Source organism: Homo sapiens, chromosome 2, assembly GCF_000001405.40.
Source record: "Homo sapiens chromosome 2, GRCh38.p14 Primary Assembly".
NCBI classification, from domain to species: domain Eukaryota; kingdom Metazoa; phylum Chordata; class Mammalia; order Primates; family Hominidae; genus Homo; species Homo sapiens.
This window is the reverse complement of record NC_000002.12, coordinates 240,708,288-240,723,412: the sequence shown is the minus strand read 5'-3', so window position 1 is coordinate 240,723,412 and position 15,125 is coordinate 240,708,288. Positions and strand designations below refer to the sequence as shown.

General features: G+C 57.5%; 1 protein-coding gene across 28 annotated transcripts in view, besides 1 other annotated feature; it reads left to right on the top strand.

The window, feature by feature from the left end:
• KIF1A (kinesin family member 1A) overlaps nt 1-9,646 on the top strand; it is a 107,637-nt gene extending 97,991 nt beyond the window's left edge. For 27 of the 28 annotated variants that reach the window (NM_001379653.1, NM_001379650.1, NM_001379645.1 and 24 more), the window contains 7 exons: nt 757-957; nt 1,529-1,606; nt 2,375-2,499; nt 3,487-3,639; nt 4,215-4,407; nt 5,245-5,363; nt 6,007-9,646. In NM_001379653.1, coding sequence (NP_001366582.1) covers nt 757-957; nt 1,529-1,606; nt 2,375-2,499; nt 3,487-3,639; nt 4,215-4,407; nt 5,245-5,363; nt 6,007-6,049 — 912 coding nt within the window. In that variant the 3' untranslated portion in view covers nt 6,050-9,646. The remainder of the gene's footprint in view (nt 1-756; nt 958-1,528; nt 1,607-2,374; nt 2,500-3,486; nt 3,640-4,214; nt 4,408-5,244; nt 5,364-6,006) is intronic. The other variant, NM_001379641.1, reaches the window with a different exon arrangement.
• Nucleotides 10,692-11,499: an enhancer, noted in NCBI's record as "H3K4me1 hESC enhancer chr2:241651331-241652138 (GRCh37/hg19 assembly coordinates)". NCBI's record gives its function as "activates a minimal SCP1, AML or CMV promoter by ChIP-STARR-seq in primed H9 embryonic stem cells {active_cell/tissue: H9 hESC(primed)}" and the evidence as "EXISTENCE:reporter gene assay evidence [ECO:0000049][PMID:30033119]".

The following is a 15,125-nucleotide window of genomic DNA, read 5'->3' as shown; positions in this document are numbered from 1 at the left end:
GTGAGGCAGCCTCAGAGGATGAGGCCCGCACGGTGGTGTCCATGTGGCTTTGTGTGCAGAGCAAAAGCTGGAGAGGGCCCAGGGCCTGGTGCCTACTGGGGGGCAGCACAGCTGCTTGGGAGTCACAGCCACCTGCAGGAGGAGCATGTGATGCTCCAGTGTGCACTGCGGGGCTGCGTGGTGTATGACAGAAACATGGCCAGTGTAGCACAGAGGCATGCTCTGGAATTAGCCGAGGAAGACTATCGGGCATATAGACAGAGGCCAGAAAGGGACCCGGAAGGAGAGTCGCGGGGCTGGGCTGCCCTCTGCGGCTTTGATCAGGGAAACCAACATGCAGCATCTAGGCACTGCCTCGGGCCGAGTGTGTGTGTGACACGTGACGCGTGACGTGTGAGATGCGTGAGGCCAGGGCTCTGCCCACCCCTCGGCCCTCTCCTGAGGCCTCCAGCACTGCAAGGCAGCACAGCCCTGCCCCAGAACCTGGCGCGTGAGATGGATGTGTCTGAGAGGAGCAGCTTGCTTGCTGCCCATGAAGGTGGCAGGGCTGGGGTGGGGGCTGAGGGCTGTCAGCCCCGGGGCGCCAGGGTCTGTTCCCTCATTTCACAGCTGAGGGCTGTCAGTCTTCAGTCTTAGCCCAGGGGAGGGTGGGCTCTCCGGGGTCTGCCCAGAGGGTCATGCTGCTGCTGAGGCTGAGCACAACTCCGGAGGTCACCCCTGAGGTGCAGCAGGTAAGGCCTTGTGTCCTGTCTGAAGGTGGAGAAGACTAGGCACTACCTGCTCCTGCGGGAGAAGCTGGAGACCGCCCAGCGGCCTGTCCCGGAGGCACTGTCCCCGGCCTTCAGCGAGGACTCTGAGTCCCATGGCTCCTCCAGCGCCTCCTCCCCGCTCTCGGCTGAGGGCCGCCCATCACCCCTGGAGGCTCCCAACGAGAGGCAGCGGGAGCTGGCCGTCAAGGTGGGTCCAGCTGGTGGGCAGTACAGCCGTAGCCCCAGGCCCTCAAGGGCCCTGAGTCATTTCTGGGCAACTCCAGCAACCCGGCCTTGCCCATGGCTGCTCTGGTTAGCACCACCAGGAGCTAGGAGCTTGAGGGGTCCCTAGGGTCCCCTTGCCCACTGACTGCACCCCACCTGCACTGAAAGTTGGGTGCCTTTTGCAGCCTCCCTTCCCAAGCGATGAATCACTCTCTTGAATACCTGTGCTGATGGGGAGCTCACCACTTCCACCCACAAGTGGCTCTTTTGGCGGCTGAACGGGCCTCTGGGAAGGCTTCCTGCGCCTCCTGCACTGGAGGCAGCACAGCCTCTGGCCCTCACACCAGGCCCTCAGCCGGTGCCTGACCCTGGGAGACTTCCTGGGCTCACCCGATGACCTGGGCGGGGTGGAGGTGCTGCCCACCTTGACCCACTGTGCTCTGGCGTCGGAACCCACCTGTGTCTGGGGAGGGGTGGGTAGAAGAGCCTGCAAGGCTGTCTGAGCAGGGTCCCGGGAGGCCTGGCCCCTGACCACGCGTGTGCTCTGTCCACAGTGCTTGCGCCTGCTCACGCACACATTCAACAGAGAGTACACACACAGCCACGTCTGCGTCAGTGCCAGCGAGAGCAAGGTGGGTGCAGAGGGGCTGCACCAGGCTGCCCCGCAGGGCTCGGGCTCCCATAGGCAGTGGTCCCTGAGGAAAACTCCCATTCCAAGTGGGAAAAGGCAGTTAAGAGTTTCCTAGGAACACGTCTCAGTGCAGAGGGACACCTCATACCTAAGTGGCTGGTTTCCCTGGGTCGGCCTGGGGTCCATGGGAGGTGGGGATGTGAGTGAGGGGCCGGGTGGGTCCTGTGGCCTTGGATGCACCCATGCACTTGCAGGCTTCTGCTGTCTTCCTGGCCCCCACCCTGTCTGGCCATCACCCTGTGGCCTCTGGCCCAGTCAGTCAAGCTCCCACTTGGCTGTCCCTCCTCCTCCTGGGACCGACCCCACCCCTGTAGCCTGGGAAACTGCTGCTGTGCTGCATTATGCGTGGAGCTCCAGCCCTGGCCCATGGCCTTCCTTGTCCCCATGGCATCACCCAGCGCCACCTCACGCTGGCATGGGCAGGAGGCGGCAGGGCAGAGCTTACCCAGCCCACTCCTCGAGGCATTGGCAGGGTGGCTGCCTGGGTCAGGCCAGAGCCTGAAGTGATGGGAGGGGCCGGCCAGGGGCCACAGGGGCTGGAGGGGGCCGGGGGTCTTGAGCTGGCCAACTTTGAGCCAAGGCTGCTGGTAGGAGGGGTGGGGTGCCCTAAGCAGCAGGTGTGGGGTAAGCGCAGGCACAGGGAGCAGCTCCCACAGAGGCCGGAGACCCCCCTTCCCTGTGTCCCCTGAAAAAGGCCTCTCCTCCGCAGCTCTCCGAGATGTCTGTCACCCTGCTCCGGGACCCGTCGATGTCCCCTCTAGGGGTGGCCACTCTCACCCCCTCCTCCACTTGCCCCTCTCTGGTTGAAGGGCGGTACGGTGCCACTGACCTGAGGTGAGTGAGCTCCAGGCTCCCGGAGTGGCTTCTGGCACCACGGCTGACCCATGACCATGGCCGTGACTCGGGCACAGAGAGCACAGAACAGGGGGCCCCAATGGCCGAGTGCCTTGGGGTGGCCACAGGCTGAGGGAAGGGCCTGGAGGAGTGGAGTCCGCAGCCCTCTCAGAGGGTGCCTGTGCCCCGCCAGCTCCATCCTAGTGTGTGTGTGTTCTCTTCCCTGAAGAAGACCAGAAATGGGTGGAAAATAAGCTAAAGCTCCCCTTTCCTGAGACAGTGCTTATAAAATAATGGAAAAAGAAAAGGTTACGAAAGAGGGCATGAGAGCCGTTAGAGTCAGTATTGTGGAGGGGACACCTGGCCCCTGCAGGTCCGCATTTGGAAGAGACCTCGTGTGAACCCCTTATGTACAATTCATAAGCAGGCAGATGCTTTTCACTCTTGTTTTAAGCGCCTTAAGGGTTCCAGATTTTCATTTAAATAAGAAAGACGGTGGCATCAGCTGGCCTTGTCTTCTGCAGGCCTCCTTGACCACCAGGTCGAGTCGCGTGGGGCCTGGCCCATGTGGGGGGCCCATGCGGGAGGCCATCGGCACCCTCTGCTCCAGTGGCTCCTTGGAACCTCGTGTCACCTTCAGTCTAGTTGTGGAGATGAAGAGATGCTGGACTTGCTTTCACAGGGTGGAGGTGGGGGCAGGAGAGCCACTGGGAGAAGGGCGTGGAGTGGGGCACAGGCTCCCTGGCTGGGCCCCGAGGTTCCTGGGGGACCCTGCCCACCAAGCCCAGCACTTCCTGGAATCGGGCACAAGCTTGGCTATCCTGGTGGACGGGCCCCGGGAGCTCCCACTGTGGGCACAGCTGGAGAGACCCTGCGAAGGTGCCCTACTGCACCTTCTGAGGTGCTCTGAGGAGGGTGAAGCCTGGGGGAAGACGGCCCCAGGCCCAGGGAGGCCTGCAGTGGGCAGCACTTCCCTCTGCTTCCCAGGACCCCGCAGCCCTGCTCCCGGCCAGCCAGCCCAGAGCCCGAGCTGCTGCCAGAGGCCGACTCCAAGAAGCTCCCTTCCCCTGCCCGGGCAACAGAGACAGACAAGGAGCCCCAGCGCCTGCTGGTCCCTGACATCCAGGAGATCCGAGTCAGGTGTGTGGGGCCTCCCTGGAAAGCACCGCCACCAGCTCTGTGCTGACAGGGGACAGGCAGGCCACCCTGCTCCCCATACTGGGGGCACAGGGACCCTCATACTTGGGGAGACAGACAGGTTGCCTGATGCCCATACTGGAGGTTCAGGCAGGCTGCCCCTGACCCACATGGAGGGACAGCTCCATGCTGGGAGGTCAGGCAGGGCCCTGTGACCCACATGCCTAGGCTGGGAACCAGCACAGAGCACAGGGGAGTGGGTGGGGTCAGAGCCAAGGCCCAGGTGGGGAACTCGTGGTCACTGGGTACAGTGTGACAGCCTTCAGCAACTTTAGCTTATTTCTTTAAGTTTTTCCATTTTATGGTGGGGAAACTGAGGCCCAGAGCTGGCTTGGTGGTCTGGTCTCCGGCCTGCTGGGTTGGGGTTCTGCCAGGTGCCCTTCGATGCCTCGACCCACTTTCTGGCTGGGGAGGTGGTTGGCACTGCTGCGTCCCAGCTCTGGGTGGTAGATGGTGAGTGCCCGAGTCAGTCGCTGCCCCCACCGAGGGCCCCAGCGAGCAGCTCTCTCTGCCTTCAGCCCGATCGTTTCCAAGAAGGGGTACCTGCACTTCCTGGAGCCGCACACGTCAGGCTGGGCCAGGCGCTTCGTGGTGGTGCGGCGCCCCTATGCCTACATGTACAACAGCGACAAGGACACCGTGGAGCGGTTCGTGCTCAACCTGGCCACTGCCCAGGTGGAGTACAGTGAGGACCAGCAGGCTATGCTCAAGGTGCGGCTGGGCCCGGCTCAGGCTCGGGCACCAGGAACCCTAGCAGGGCAGGAGCTGAGCCACCATCCTCTGCAGCCCTGCGTCAGAGCAGGAGGCCCATCTGCTCACCCCAGACTCCGTCCTGTTCCACGGAGGCTGGGCTCAGGGACTCAGCCTCAGGGATCCTCTGTCCTTGCCCCAGGCCTCTCTGCCTGCCCATGAGGCGCATATTCCTGGTGACAGCTAGTGGGGATGGACTCCGGTCAGGGCAAGCATTAGTATTCTCCTGTGTGATGGCCACAGCCATGTCCCCTCCTCCGGAGTCACCCAAGGTGGGTGGCACCAGCCCTGCAGGAATGGGCGAGCCACAGGGCTCAGAGGAGCCCTCCTGCCCCCACTCTGCCCAGCCCCTCCGTCTGGAATGGCCCTGGACAAGTTCAGGAGCCTGGACTCCTTCAGGCTGGCTGGAGGAGAAGTTTCTCTGAGCCATCTGGAGGCGGCCCCAGTGTCTACGAGATGGTTTTTTGATTCCCTGTGGTGGGAGTGGGTGGTGTGAACCCACATCTGCACCAGCAGCCCAGCCAGGGTCCCAGGGAGCAGGGGCCATGAGGGGCAGTCACGTCCCGTGGGGAGGCATAGCAGTGGTGAGGGTGTCCTGGGACCACCGGCCGCAGATGCGTCCAGAAGGCAGTCACAGCCCTGGCTGGGTCAGCCTTCCCCTCTTTGTCCCCTCCGTGTCCCCTCCCTGGGACTTTCCTGGCAGTGCCCCTCCCCTGCCTGCCTGGGCCCTGGGGAGCAGGAGGGTGGTGTGCTGACCACGGAGCCTGGCACCTCCTCACCAGCTGCCTCCCTCTGCAGACACCCAACACATTCGCGGTGTGCACGGAACACCGCGGCATCCTGCTGCAGGCCGCCAGCGACAAGGACATGCATGACTGGCTGTACGCCTTCAACCCCCTCCTGGCCGGGACCATACGGTAGGGCCGCCTGCAGGGCGAGGTTGCTGCCATGGGGGTCCTGCCCTCAACCGGCTCCTGGCCAGGACCATTTGATAGGGCCCTGCTGCAGGACAAGACTGCTCTCCCAGGGGTCCTGCCCTCAATCCCCTCCTGGCGGGGACCATTCAGTAGGGCCAGCCGCAGGGTGCGGTTGCTCTGCCAGGGGTCCTGCCCGCAAGGCTGCCTGGGGAAGCAGTGCGGCCAGTGGAAGGCAGCGCGGCCTGCCCTCACTTATGTGGGCTGGGGATGCCCTTAGGGCTATTAATGCTCCCTCTGAGTTGTGGCTTCTTGTGGAGTGATAAATCCCAGGCCATACTTTCAAAATTACATCCTAACCCGGTGGCCTCGGCATGGGGAAACCGTGTGCCCTTGGGCAGGCTGCGGAAGGAGCTGGTCCCTCCCACAGCAGGGATGTGAAAAGCGGGGTGCAGGAGGGGATGGGCGGGCTGAGTCCTACACACCAGAAGCAGAGATTCAGTCCCTTCCCCAGGTGGTGAGGGAACCAGCGGGGACATGGGGTCTGTGGCTGCCCCTCACGGCTGCCTGCCTGTGCAGGGCACGGTGGATATGGCCTGCAGGTGTTCCTGGCCTGACCACGCCGCCTCTCCCAACTCTTCTGCAGGTCCAAGCTCTCCAGAAGGAGGTCTGCCCAGATGCGGGTCTGAACCTGAGCCCTCCCGTGACAGCCGGCAGGCCCAGCCCATCCCCTCCCTCATCCTCGTCTGTCCTGTCACCTGCCGCCCAGCCCCTCTCCTGCCAGACAGCCCACGACCGGGTCGACCCCCCAGGGGACGCCCATGCCAGGCCCGGGGACCTGTGCCACACGACCAGCTGTGCTCCCAGCAGAGGCTGTGCGTGTCAGTTCTTCTTGCAGAATGTGCTCTGGTGGAACAAGTTGGGAGAGGCTGGGGGGGCCAAGGGCACAGGTTACGGGGGTTCTTGCTGCCGTTCTAATATTTTTTTAAGCATAGACAGACTTATAATTAATATACGTTAGTTAGTGACATTGAAACAGTCAACTCGGAAATTAACTATAAGACTTGTTCTATTTATAAGTATTTATTTCTAATGCCTCCACATAGCCCTGTAATATTCAGATGGAACCCCCAACCACCTCCACCCTGTTTGTTCCCACATGTGTCTCCCAAGCCTGCTAGGGACAGGCAGGGCAGGGACAGCCACCTTGGAAGGCCGCAGTGAGGAGCTGTCTGGACCAGTGGGGCACCTTGGGGCTAGCACACGGGTGTATCGCCTGGGCCCCAGGCTTCTCCATGGCCACATGGGTCCTGGGTGTATGTGTGGGAGAGTGGGGGGGTGTCTTTGGTGCCTGAAGTCTGCGCGGCATGGAGGGTGGTGTGAGTTCCTCTGGTGGGAGGGAGAACGCACATCTCTTCTGGGCGGCCACCTGAGGAGTGACTCCAAGAAGAGTTCCGGCAGCTTTCCCCAGGAAAGGGTGAGGGGTGACACTCGGCTCTGGCTCTGAGATGAGGCAGACGGCACCCAGGCTGTGATCTGTCCTGGGCGGGGACCAGGAGGGAGCGGGGTCGGGATCACCTGCCAGTGTGCAGACTCTGGGACTGCGTGCTGTCTCCGGACCATCAGGGTAGGGTGGTGGGTTGAGACCAGGAAGTCAGGGAAGATCGGAATTCAGGGCGACGGTCTAGGTGTCGAGGGCTGTGGCGCAGCCTCTTCAGCTGCGGCGAGAAATGGAGTGAGTCAAGGTAGCTTCTGGGAAGAAATGCTGCCATTAGCAGGTTTCTTGCAAAGACTTTCCTCTCTTTGTTCCCAGGGCAGAGAGTTTCTGTGAGTCCCACTGAGAAAATCCCATGGGGTGGGGGTATCCTGGTCGGTCGGCAATGGAGGGTGGCTGGCTTGGTGGTTATTGTCTTCAAGGAGCTCTTCGCTGCTGCATCTGCGGTGTCCCTTTGTTCTTGTCCCATTTCACCCCCTCTGCAGACACCAATGTCCGAGGGCCACCCAGGACAGGACGGGGGTCAGCCCCAAGCTGAGAGTCTGGTCATAGGAGTCATGTCCAGAGGCCTAGGGAGGTTTTAGGGCCCTCCCCACCCACACCCACAGGTCGATTTGGTCTCTTTTTAGCTCAAGGAAAGACAGTAGCCAAGCAACAGAGCCCCTCTCCCGCCGTGGCCCGTGGGAGCAGTTACATCGGGTCTGGTGCTCCAGACCTAGGGCCCAGCACTTTCATCAGATCCTGCCTCCTGGAGTGGGGGAAACGCAGCACCCCACTGGTTCTGAGGCCCCTACCCTCCCAGGCTGTCCCACGTGATGCTGACATGAGCCTCAGAGACCCCAATCCCATGCCTGGGGGAGAGACAGCGGCTCAGGAGTGGGGGAGCACGGGCCTTCTACACCACATGGGAAGGCTCTGGCATGAGGTTTTCCTTTGGGAAGGTTGTTTGGGCCCCTGAAGTTCCATCTCCGAGAGTGGTGTGCAGGGCAGGCCAGGGCCCATGCTGGCTGCAGTCTCTGTGGCTGCCTGCCTGGGCCAGCCTGTTTGGGAGCTGGGACTGTGGGCTCGCCTTTTCGTACCTGGGCTCAGGTGCGGTGTGGCCACCGCCACCCTCATCCCCTGCCTGGGAGGCTCTCCCAGGGGCTGATGGGGGGGTTCTGTGAGGGAGAATCAGGGCTCGGGAAGCCACGCCTGGGAAGGCAGGACACAGGACACAGCAGCTTTCTTTGGAAATCTCCCAGGTGAGGATTCACATCCCAAAATAAAATTCAGAAGCCAGGTGGCCTGTGCTCCCCATGGGTGACCTCTGGAGGCAGTGGACCAAGATGCAGCAAGGAGAGGATGCAGAACAGCTTCTTGCAGAAGCACCTGCTCCGGCATCCAGCGCTGCCTGGAGGCAGGAAGGAGAGGCAGGGCAGGACACGCTGGTCTGAGATGAGGGGGAGCCCCACGGGCCCCAGGCAGGCTAGAGGAGGCACAGGCCCTGCCACGGCCAACTCAGGTCAGCCAGCCTGAGGCTGTGGCCTCCAAAGGGTCTGGGCGCACCCCCCAGGTCGCAGGTGTCTGAGGCCAGCCAACCTGCAGAGCACTCGCGGCGTGGGTGGGCTGAGTGGAGGTGCCTGGGAGCTGCCTAAATTCAGAAGCCTCCACTGCCATGGAGACTGCCTGGCTGTGTCCTCTCAGCCAGGTGCCGTGTTGGCCTTGGCTAGGACCCAGAGCCACACTGCAGCCTCCGCCGACTCCCTCCTTCCGGGCCTGCTCTAGTGAGGAGTGCCTAAGCCAGGACCCAGAAACTCAGAGTTGATGGTGAGAGGAGGCCGCCTGAGTCAGGACACCTGGCTTCTTGAAAAGTTCGCTCTGCCAGAAACCACCTAGGGACCACGTTAGCTGCCTTCCTTGAGCTCCCCAGGAGTCGGTTTCCACATCTGTGAGGTGGAGGGCTGGTGTGGAGGTGCTCATGGGGTGCGGTGCTTGGGAGACAGCCAGGCCCAGGGTGGCTGCTGCTTCCTGCTAAGTGGGGGAGGTGAGACAGATCTGGAAAGCCGTCTCCCTCAGATGGTTTCATTTAATGCTTTATACTGCCGAGTCTGGGGGCTTGTTTTGGTTTGGGGGCAGCCATCCTCCACCAGAAAGGGGGAGCTCCTTCCGCTGCGGCTCCAGATAGATGGGGATGCCGGGCTCCAGGCCGACCAGCACTTGGGATCTGATGGGACACGGCCAGTGCCTAGGGGTGCCAAGTCCAAGGCCTCCCACTGGGAGTCATCGCTGAGAAGATGCCAATGTTTCATCCACCGGCTGCACAGGCACAAACTCCCCCACCCAGGACGGCTGTGATGAGGTGGCCCTCCCTGTCAACCCTGGTCCCTGGAGTCCCCAGCACCTGGGGCCCTGGTGGGGCTGATGTCACAGGTGTTTACTGTGCTGCTGCACTGGTCCTATGCCAGCCTCACCCATGTGGGGACCACGGAAGGCACACTCCCTTACCCCCGGTGCCGGGCCGTGCGGTCCCCCAGACGGACAGCAGCTGTGGCGACCTGCGTTTCTCCCTGGGCCTGTGCTTCCTGTAGTTAGTCCGTCCCCTGGTTCCCCTGTGGCTCAGAGGCCGCGTCCCTGGCTTGTACATATGTGATTGCTGTGGGCACACCCCAGACCCCATGTCATAGCTGCCGTCCCGACGTCACGACGCCTGTCCCGATGTCTTACACCCGAGTGTTAGCCCTAGGCTCCTGTACTGTGCGTGCACTTGAGGCTCTGTCCAATTAAGAAATAAATGTGGCTCTTACTCAACACAGTCCCATGGGCTCTGCTGTGGCTTTATTTGCGTGTTACGTGTGTTGCAGGGCCCCGGAAAATGGCTGTAGGTGCATGCATCCAGCGTGGTCCAGAGACAGTACCCCTCTCCCAGTGATGAGGCAGGGAGGGGCTGGCTCTCGAGGTGGGCATGGGGAGGTGGTGGGGAAGGTGTCGAAGACTGAGTGTACACAGGGTGCTGGTCTTGGAGGATCAACCTCCACCTGCCTCCCGTGACCGGTTGCACCCCTGTGAACCAGCCCCAGGCACCTCCCCAGGGACACAGCACCTACCACCCTCATACCAGGCCACTGCACCCATCCCAGGCAGCCTCAGGCCTGGACCCTTCAGAGTCTCTAGTCCATGGGGTCTGCGCCTGGGCCCAGATCCTCAGAGCCTCCTGGAGTTCCAGAGGCCGCACCATTGCACACGAGGGCCTTAGTCTTGTCCAAGGTATGGCAGGAGTTTGTGGACCAGCGTCACACTGATGGCCGATGGGAGGATGGGGTGACAGCCTTGCACTTTGGGGGACTCTGGGCAGGGCCCCCAGTCCTTAGGAGCCCCCAGGCCCTCCAGAGGTGAGTGGCTTTGTCACAGGCGACAGCCATCTCCAGGACATTCAGTGAGGGTGGCACCTGCTCGGAAGGCAACGCCTCTCAGTGGGCCTGGGAGGTGGACCCTACTGGCTGGCACGGGGGCTCCGGGGCCTTGTGTGGGGCCACCCTCTGGCTACAGGTGGGAGGGGCTGTGTCAGGGCTGACATAGATACCGTTCAACCTGTGTGGACTCCTCCTGTCTGAGAGGTCGTAGTCTTCCAGTCCTGAGATTATAGACAGAACTTTTTGCCAGCTGGGTGAAGGGCGCACACAGTTCCTCTCTGTGCTGTTTTTTTTTTTTTATAACTTCCTGTGAGCCTACCATTATTTTAAAATGAAAAATAAAGAAAAAACCTTTTTATTCATCGGATTTTCTAGTTTCTCTACAATGAATTTGTGTTACCCGTGTAATTCTTTAAAAATTAAGAGTGAGAAGCAAATCAAACCAGAATTCAGTGACTGGGCAGAATCATAGCGGCCTCCTCACTGGTTGAGGAGGATAAATGAGTTAGCTTTGGAAAAGGCGTAGGACGGGGCCTGACACAGACTAAGTGCTGTAGAAGGTTTCTGTTTTTTAAAACAATGAATGAAACTAACAAAACATTAAGTAACAATTGGCTGTGCCTTCCAGTGTTAAGGAGAAACCTGTCGCTACCTCTGCTTCCACCTGACCTTGTTCTTGGGGCCCCAGGGATGACACCCATCGTCCGAAGGTTCTGGAAGACGAGGGAGTAGAACCAGGAGTGTGGGCTGAGTGGCGCTGGGCTTTCATGGTTGGTGCCTTCCACCAGCGGTGTGACCGGGCTCTGGGACCTGGGACCACTTCTGTGTCCAGGGCAGTGCTAAGCTGGGCACGGTCATCCTGTGCCCTGTGGGGCCTGGTTCACACTCCCCAGCTGCACTCTCTCCTGGCTGGGATGGTCTTTCTGTCCATGTTGGTGCCTCAGTGCAGCCCTGGCTGGTGGTTCTCTGAGGCCTGGGAGCCATTCAGACCCTTTTGATGCCTGCAAGTCTCTGCTGCCGTCCAGCGAGGGCTGGTGGCACAGTGGACTCACACGGACAGACAGACTCACGTCTTAACTCAGCAGATGGCCACTGTCACTCCTGCACTGGGGGCGGTCCTTTAGGGGTGTCGACTAAAGCTTTCACAGCCTCCAGGATGTGTAGAGGGCAGAAAAGCCTGGAAGCCCCAGCCTTGAGGACAGAGTCCACCCCTGTGCAGACAGCCAGTGATAACCCAACCCAGTCCCCAGGGAGAGGTGGCCCGTAATGCACCTGGCTCCCTTCTGCTCCAGCCTCCTGCCCATCTTGACACCTCCTGCTGCTGCCCCAAAAGCCTGACTTGGCCCAGGGCCCCTCCTGTGTCCCCTGTGAGCTGGAGTCTGAATGCTGAGTCCAGGCCCTGGGGAGGCTCCCTAGCTCCTGCCTGTGCGGCAGATCCTGAAACTGAGGCCCAGACCCTGAGATGGTTCCAGAACCCTGGACTGAACCTCACTGGCCCATCCAGCCTGTGCTCTCCTCTCCCCAAGACCTTAAGGCTGGCTCCGTGGAGCCTGGAGCAGACCAAGCCACAGTGTGGGTGTCTGGAGGCTCACGTGTCCATTGGACGCGTTGTGTCTCTGGGGAGCTGAGCCCCGGCCTTGGGGACACCCAGACAGGATCCAGCAGATTCCTCATCCTACTGGGGTGACACCCATTGGCCAGTTAGACCCAACTGGACCCAGGGCCAGAGGGGCGCAGGCATGTCCTGTCTACAGTCCAGGACGCAGGAAGCAGGGACTTAACCCCTCACCCCCGTGGCCTTCTCCTCTCCCTACCAACCACCACCTGGAGCCCGCCAGGCCCCCAGCCAGGAGATCTTGACTTTATAGGTGTGTGGGGTGTCAGAGGATCCCACTGCACAGCAAATGGTATTTCCCAAGAAGAATTCCCATGAGCTGCCCCTCTTCCCCGCAGTGTGGGCTTCCAGGACCTGGCCTGAGAGCACCCCCCAGCTTCCTGCCTGCTCTGCACTCCACACCTTCCTCCTCTCGTGTGTGGAGTGAATTGGTGCTTTCCTGATTCTTCCAAACTGTACTTTCCAGTACAGTAAACAACAGAGCGACATGGGTCCTTACACATGAAACCATGCTCTTATCCTACTTTTGGGGACAAAGTCCTAGCTGGAATTACTGTGTGGGAGTTTATATAAATTCATATGTGCATCTTACGTGTGTGTGTGTGTGTGTGTGTGTGGCACGCGTGTGCACACATGTGCGCACACACACACACGGCTTCTGAACATAAAGCCCATCATCGTCTCACTGCATGTCTGAGTCTTTTTAGTCCTCCCCCTTTGGCAGGTGGTAAGTGGCACCTTATCATTTTTCAATTTTATTTATTAGTGTTGCTAAATTATTTTCATGTGTTTTATATATATATATATATATATATATATATATATTTTTTTTTTTTTTTTTTTTTTTTTTTTTCTGAGATGGAGTCTCACTCTGCCGCCCAGGCTGGAGTGTAGTGGTGCAATCTCAGCTCACTGCAACCTCCGCCTCCAGGGTTTAAGTGATTCTCCTGCCTCAGCTTCCCGAGTAACTGGGATTACAGGTGCCTGCCCCCTCACCTGGCTATTTTTTGGATTTTTAGTAGAGACAGAGTTTCACCGTGTTGGCCAGGATGGTCTTGAACTCCTGACCTCAAGTGACCCACCCACCTTGGCCTCCCAAAGTGCTGGGATTACAGGCGTGAGCCACCGCGCCCAGCCAGATTATTTTTATTTCTTTTGTGACTTGCCTATTATGTCTCTGGCCAAATTTTCCTCTTAATTTGCAGTCAGTTACACATATATCAGATAGCTCATTCCTTTGTCATATGTTTTAATTTTCTAACTTTGTAATTTTTCTGTTTTGATAATATTTTATTTTGCCTTATAAAATTATGTTGAATATCTTTTAAAGTCAAATATAGTTTATTTTTCAAAATTTCTAATCTTGGGCATTTTGCAGAAAAGAATTAGCCCAACAGGCTTGCACCTGCTATTCTTTAAATGTCTGCTGTGAGGTGGAGCCTCAGACGGCTTCTGGGAACTTGGCACTTGAACTGTTCCCTGAATGACAATGAGGGTTCACTGTGCCCAGACTGTACAAATACTATAGCCCTCGATGCACTTTCCTTCTGAGTCTGGAGTTTGGTGTGTTCCAGGCAGGGCATGGCCAGCTTCTGGTCAACACCACAGGCACTGAGTCTCTACTGAGCTCCCCGACGGGGAGCCCTTAATATGGACGGCCATGCAGCGTTGCTGGGAATGAAACACGTCCTGTGTTACTCTGTGGGGAGAGAGGCCTTGGAAGCACGAGCCTGGTTTTCTTCACACCACGCCCCATGCCTTTTGCACCCCATGCTTTTTCCGTTCACAGATGTGGTTTCAGAGCCTTTTGCCGTAACCAGTCTCAGCCATGGCACCACTGTATGCTAGATCCTGTGCATCCTTCCAGAAAGTCTCTGAACCAGGGATGACCTTGAGGACTTCATGATACAAGAACACACTTTGAAACTCCTTTCCCATTCATTTCACTTATCTCTAATAGTGATTTCATTTATGTCATCAAATAATTAACCTCTCTCGCATGATATGACCATGTAGAGTTTACTCTGGGAATGAAGAGGTCACTTCATATCAAGAAATCTATTAATAAAATCCATCATATCAATAGAGCTAAGAAAAAATGGTCATCACCACAGATGCAGAAAAGCTAGGAACAGAGCAGAACGGCATGCTAGCATCACCACTATTCAATGGCGTTTTGAATTACTAGCTAATTTCTTTACACAAGAGAAAGTAATCAGAGGGATAAAAACAGAGAAGGAAATGTAAAAATTATCTCTTTTGCAGATGATAGAATTACATATCTGGAAATCCCAAAAGAATCCATGGGAAAACCACAAATAGCCTGAATTTGAATCTGAAGGGTCAATATGAAGATATGATAGATTTCATTTTTCTTTAAAAAATACACATTTCCTAGTTCCATCTATTGAAAAGGCCTGGAAACAACAACCAGCTCCTTAACAGTGACACATTCCTAGAACCGAGATTGTATTGTCTAAATAGAACTTCTCTCTAACACTGGGAGAAATCACTAGTTCCAGAGCGGGGATGAGAATTGCACAAGATTATCATGAAAATCTTTTCAACAAAAACATTATCACACTCTAAGAGTTTTGCCAATAGGACCCAAAGTCATTGTCAGACTTCAAGAGTTGTGTCAAAAGGACCCAGGATCCAACTTAGAGGCTCCCACTGGCCTAAGATTGGGACACTTTGAACATCAGTAAGGCTAATAAATGTGATGACTGGAACACATGTGATATGGTTTGGCCCTGTGTGCCCACCCAGATCTCATCTTGTAGCTCCCATGATTCCCATGTGTCATGGGAGGGACCCAGTGGGAGATGACTGAATAATGGGGGCGGGTCTTTCCTGCGCTGTTCTCGTGATAGTGAATGGGTCTCACGAGATCTGATGGTTTTAAAACATGGGAGTTGCCCTACACAACCTCTCTTTTTGCCTGCTGCCATCCACGTAAGATGTGACTAGCTCCTCCTTGCCTTCTGCCACGATTGTGAGGCCTCCCCAGCCATGTGGAGCTGTAAGTCCAATAAACTTCTTTCTTTTGTAAATTGGTCAGTCACGGGTATGTCTTTATCAGCAACATGAAAACAAACGAATACAACATGTAATATGATTACATCTATTGGTTTATAATGACAATTAAAAAATAGTAAAAAAAAAATAGTTCAAAATAGCTCACTGGTAACCATCAGAGGATGCAACTCATTTCGGAAACAAGTAAATCAGGAAAAAGAAACAAGCATTATCCTGTCTTCCCTTAG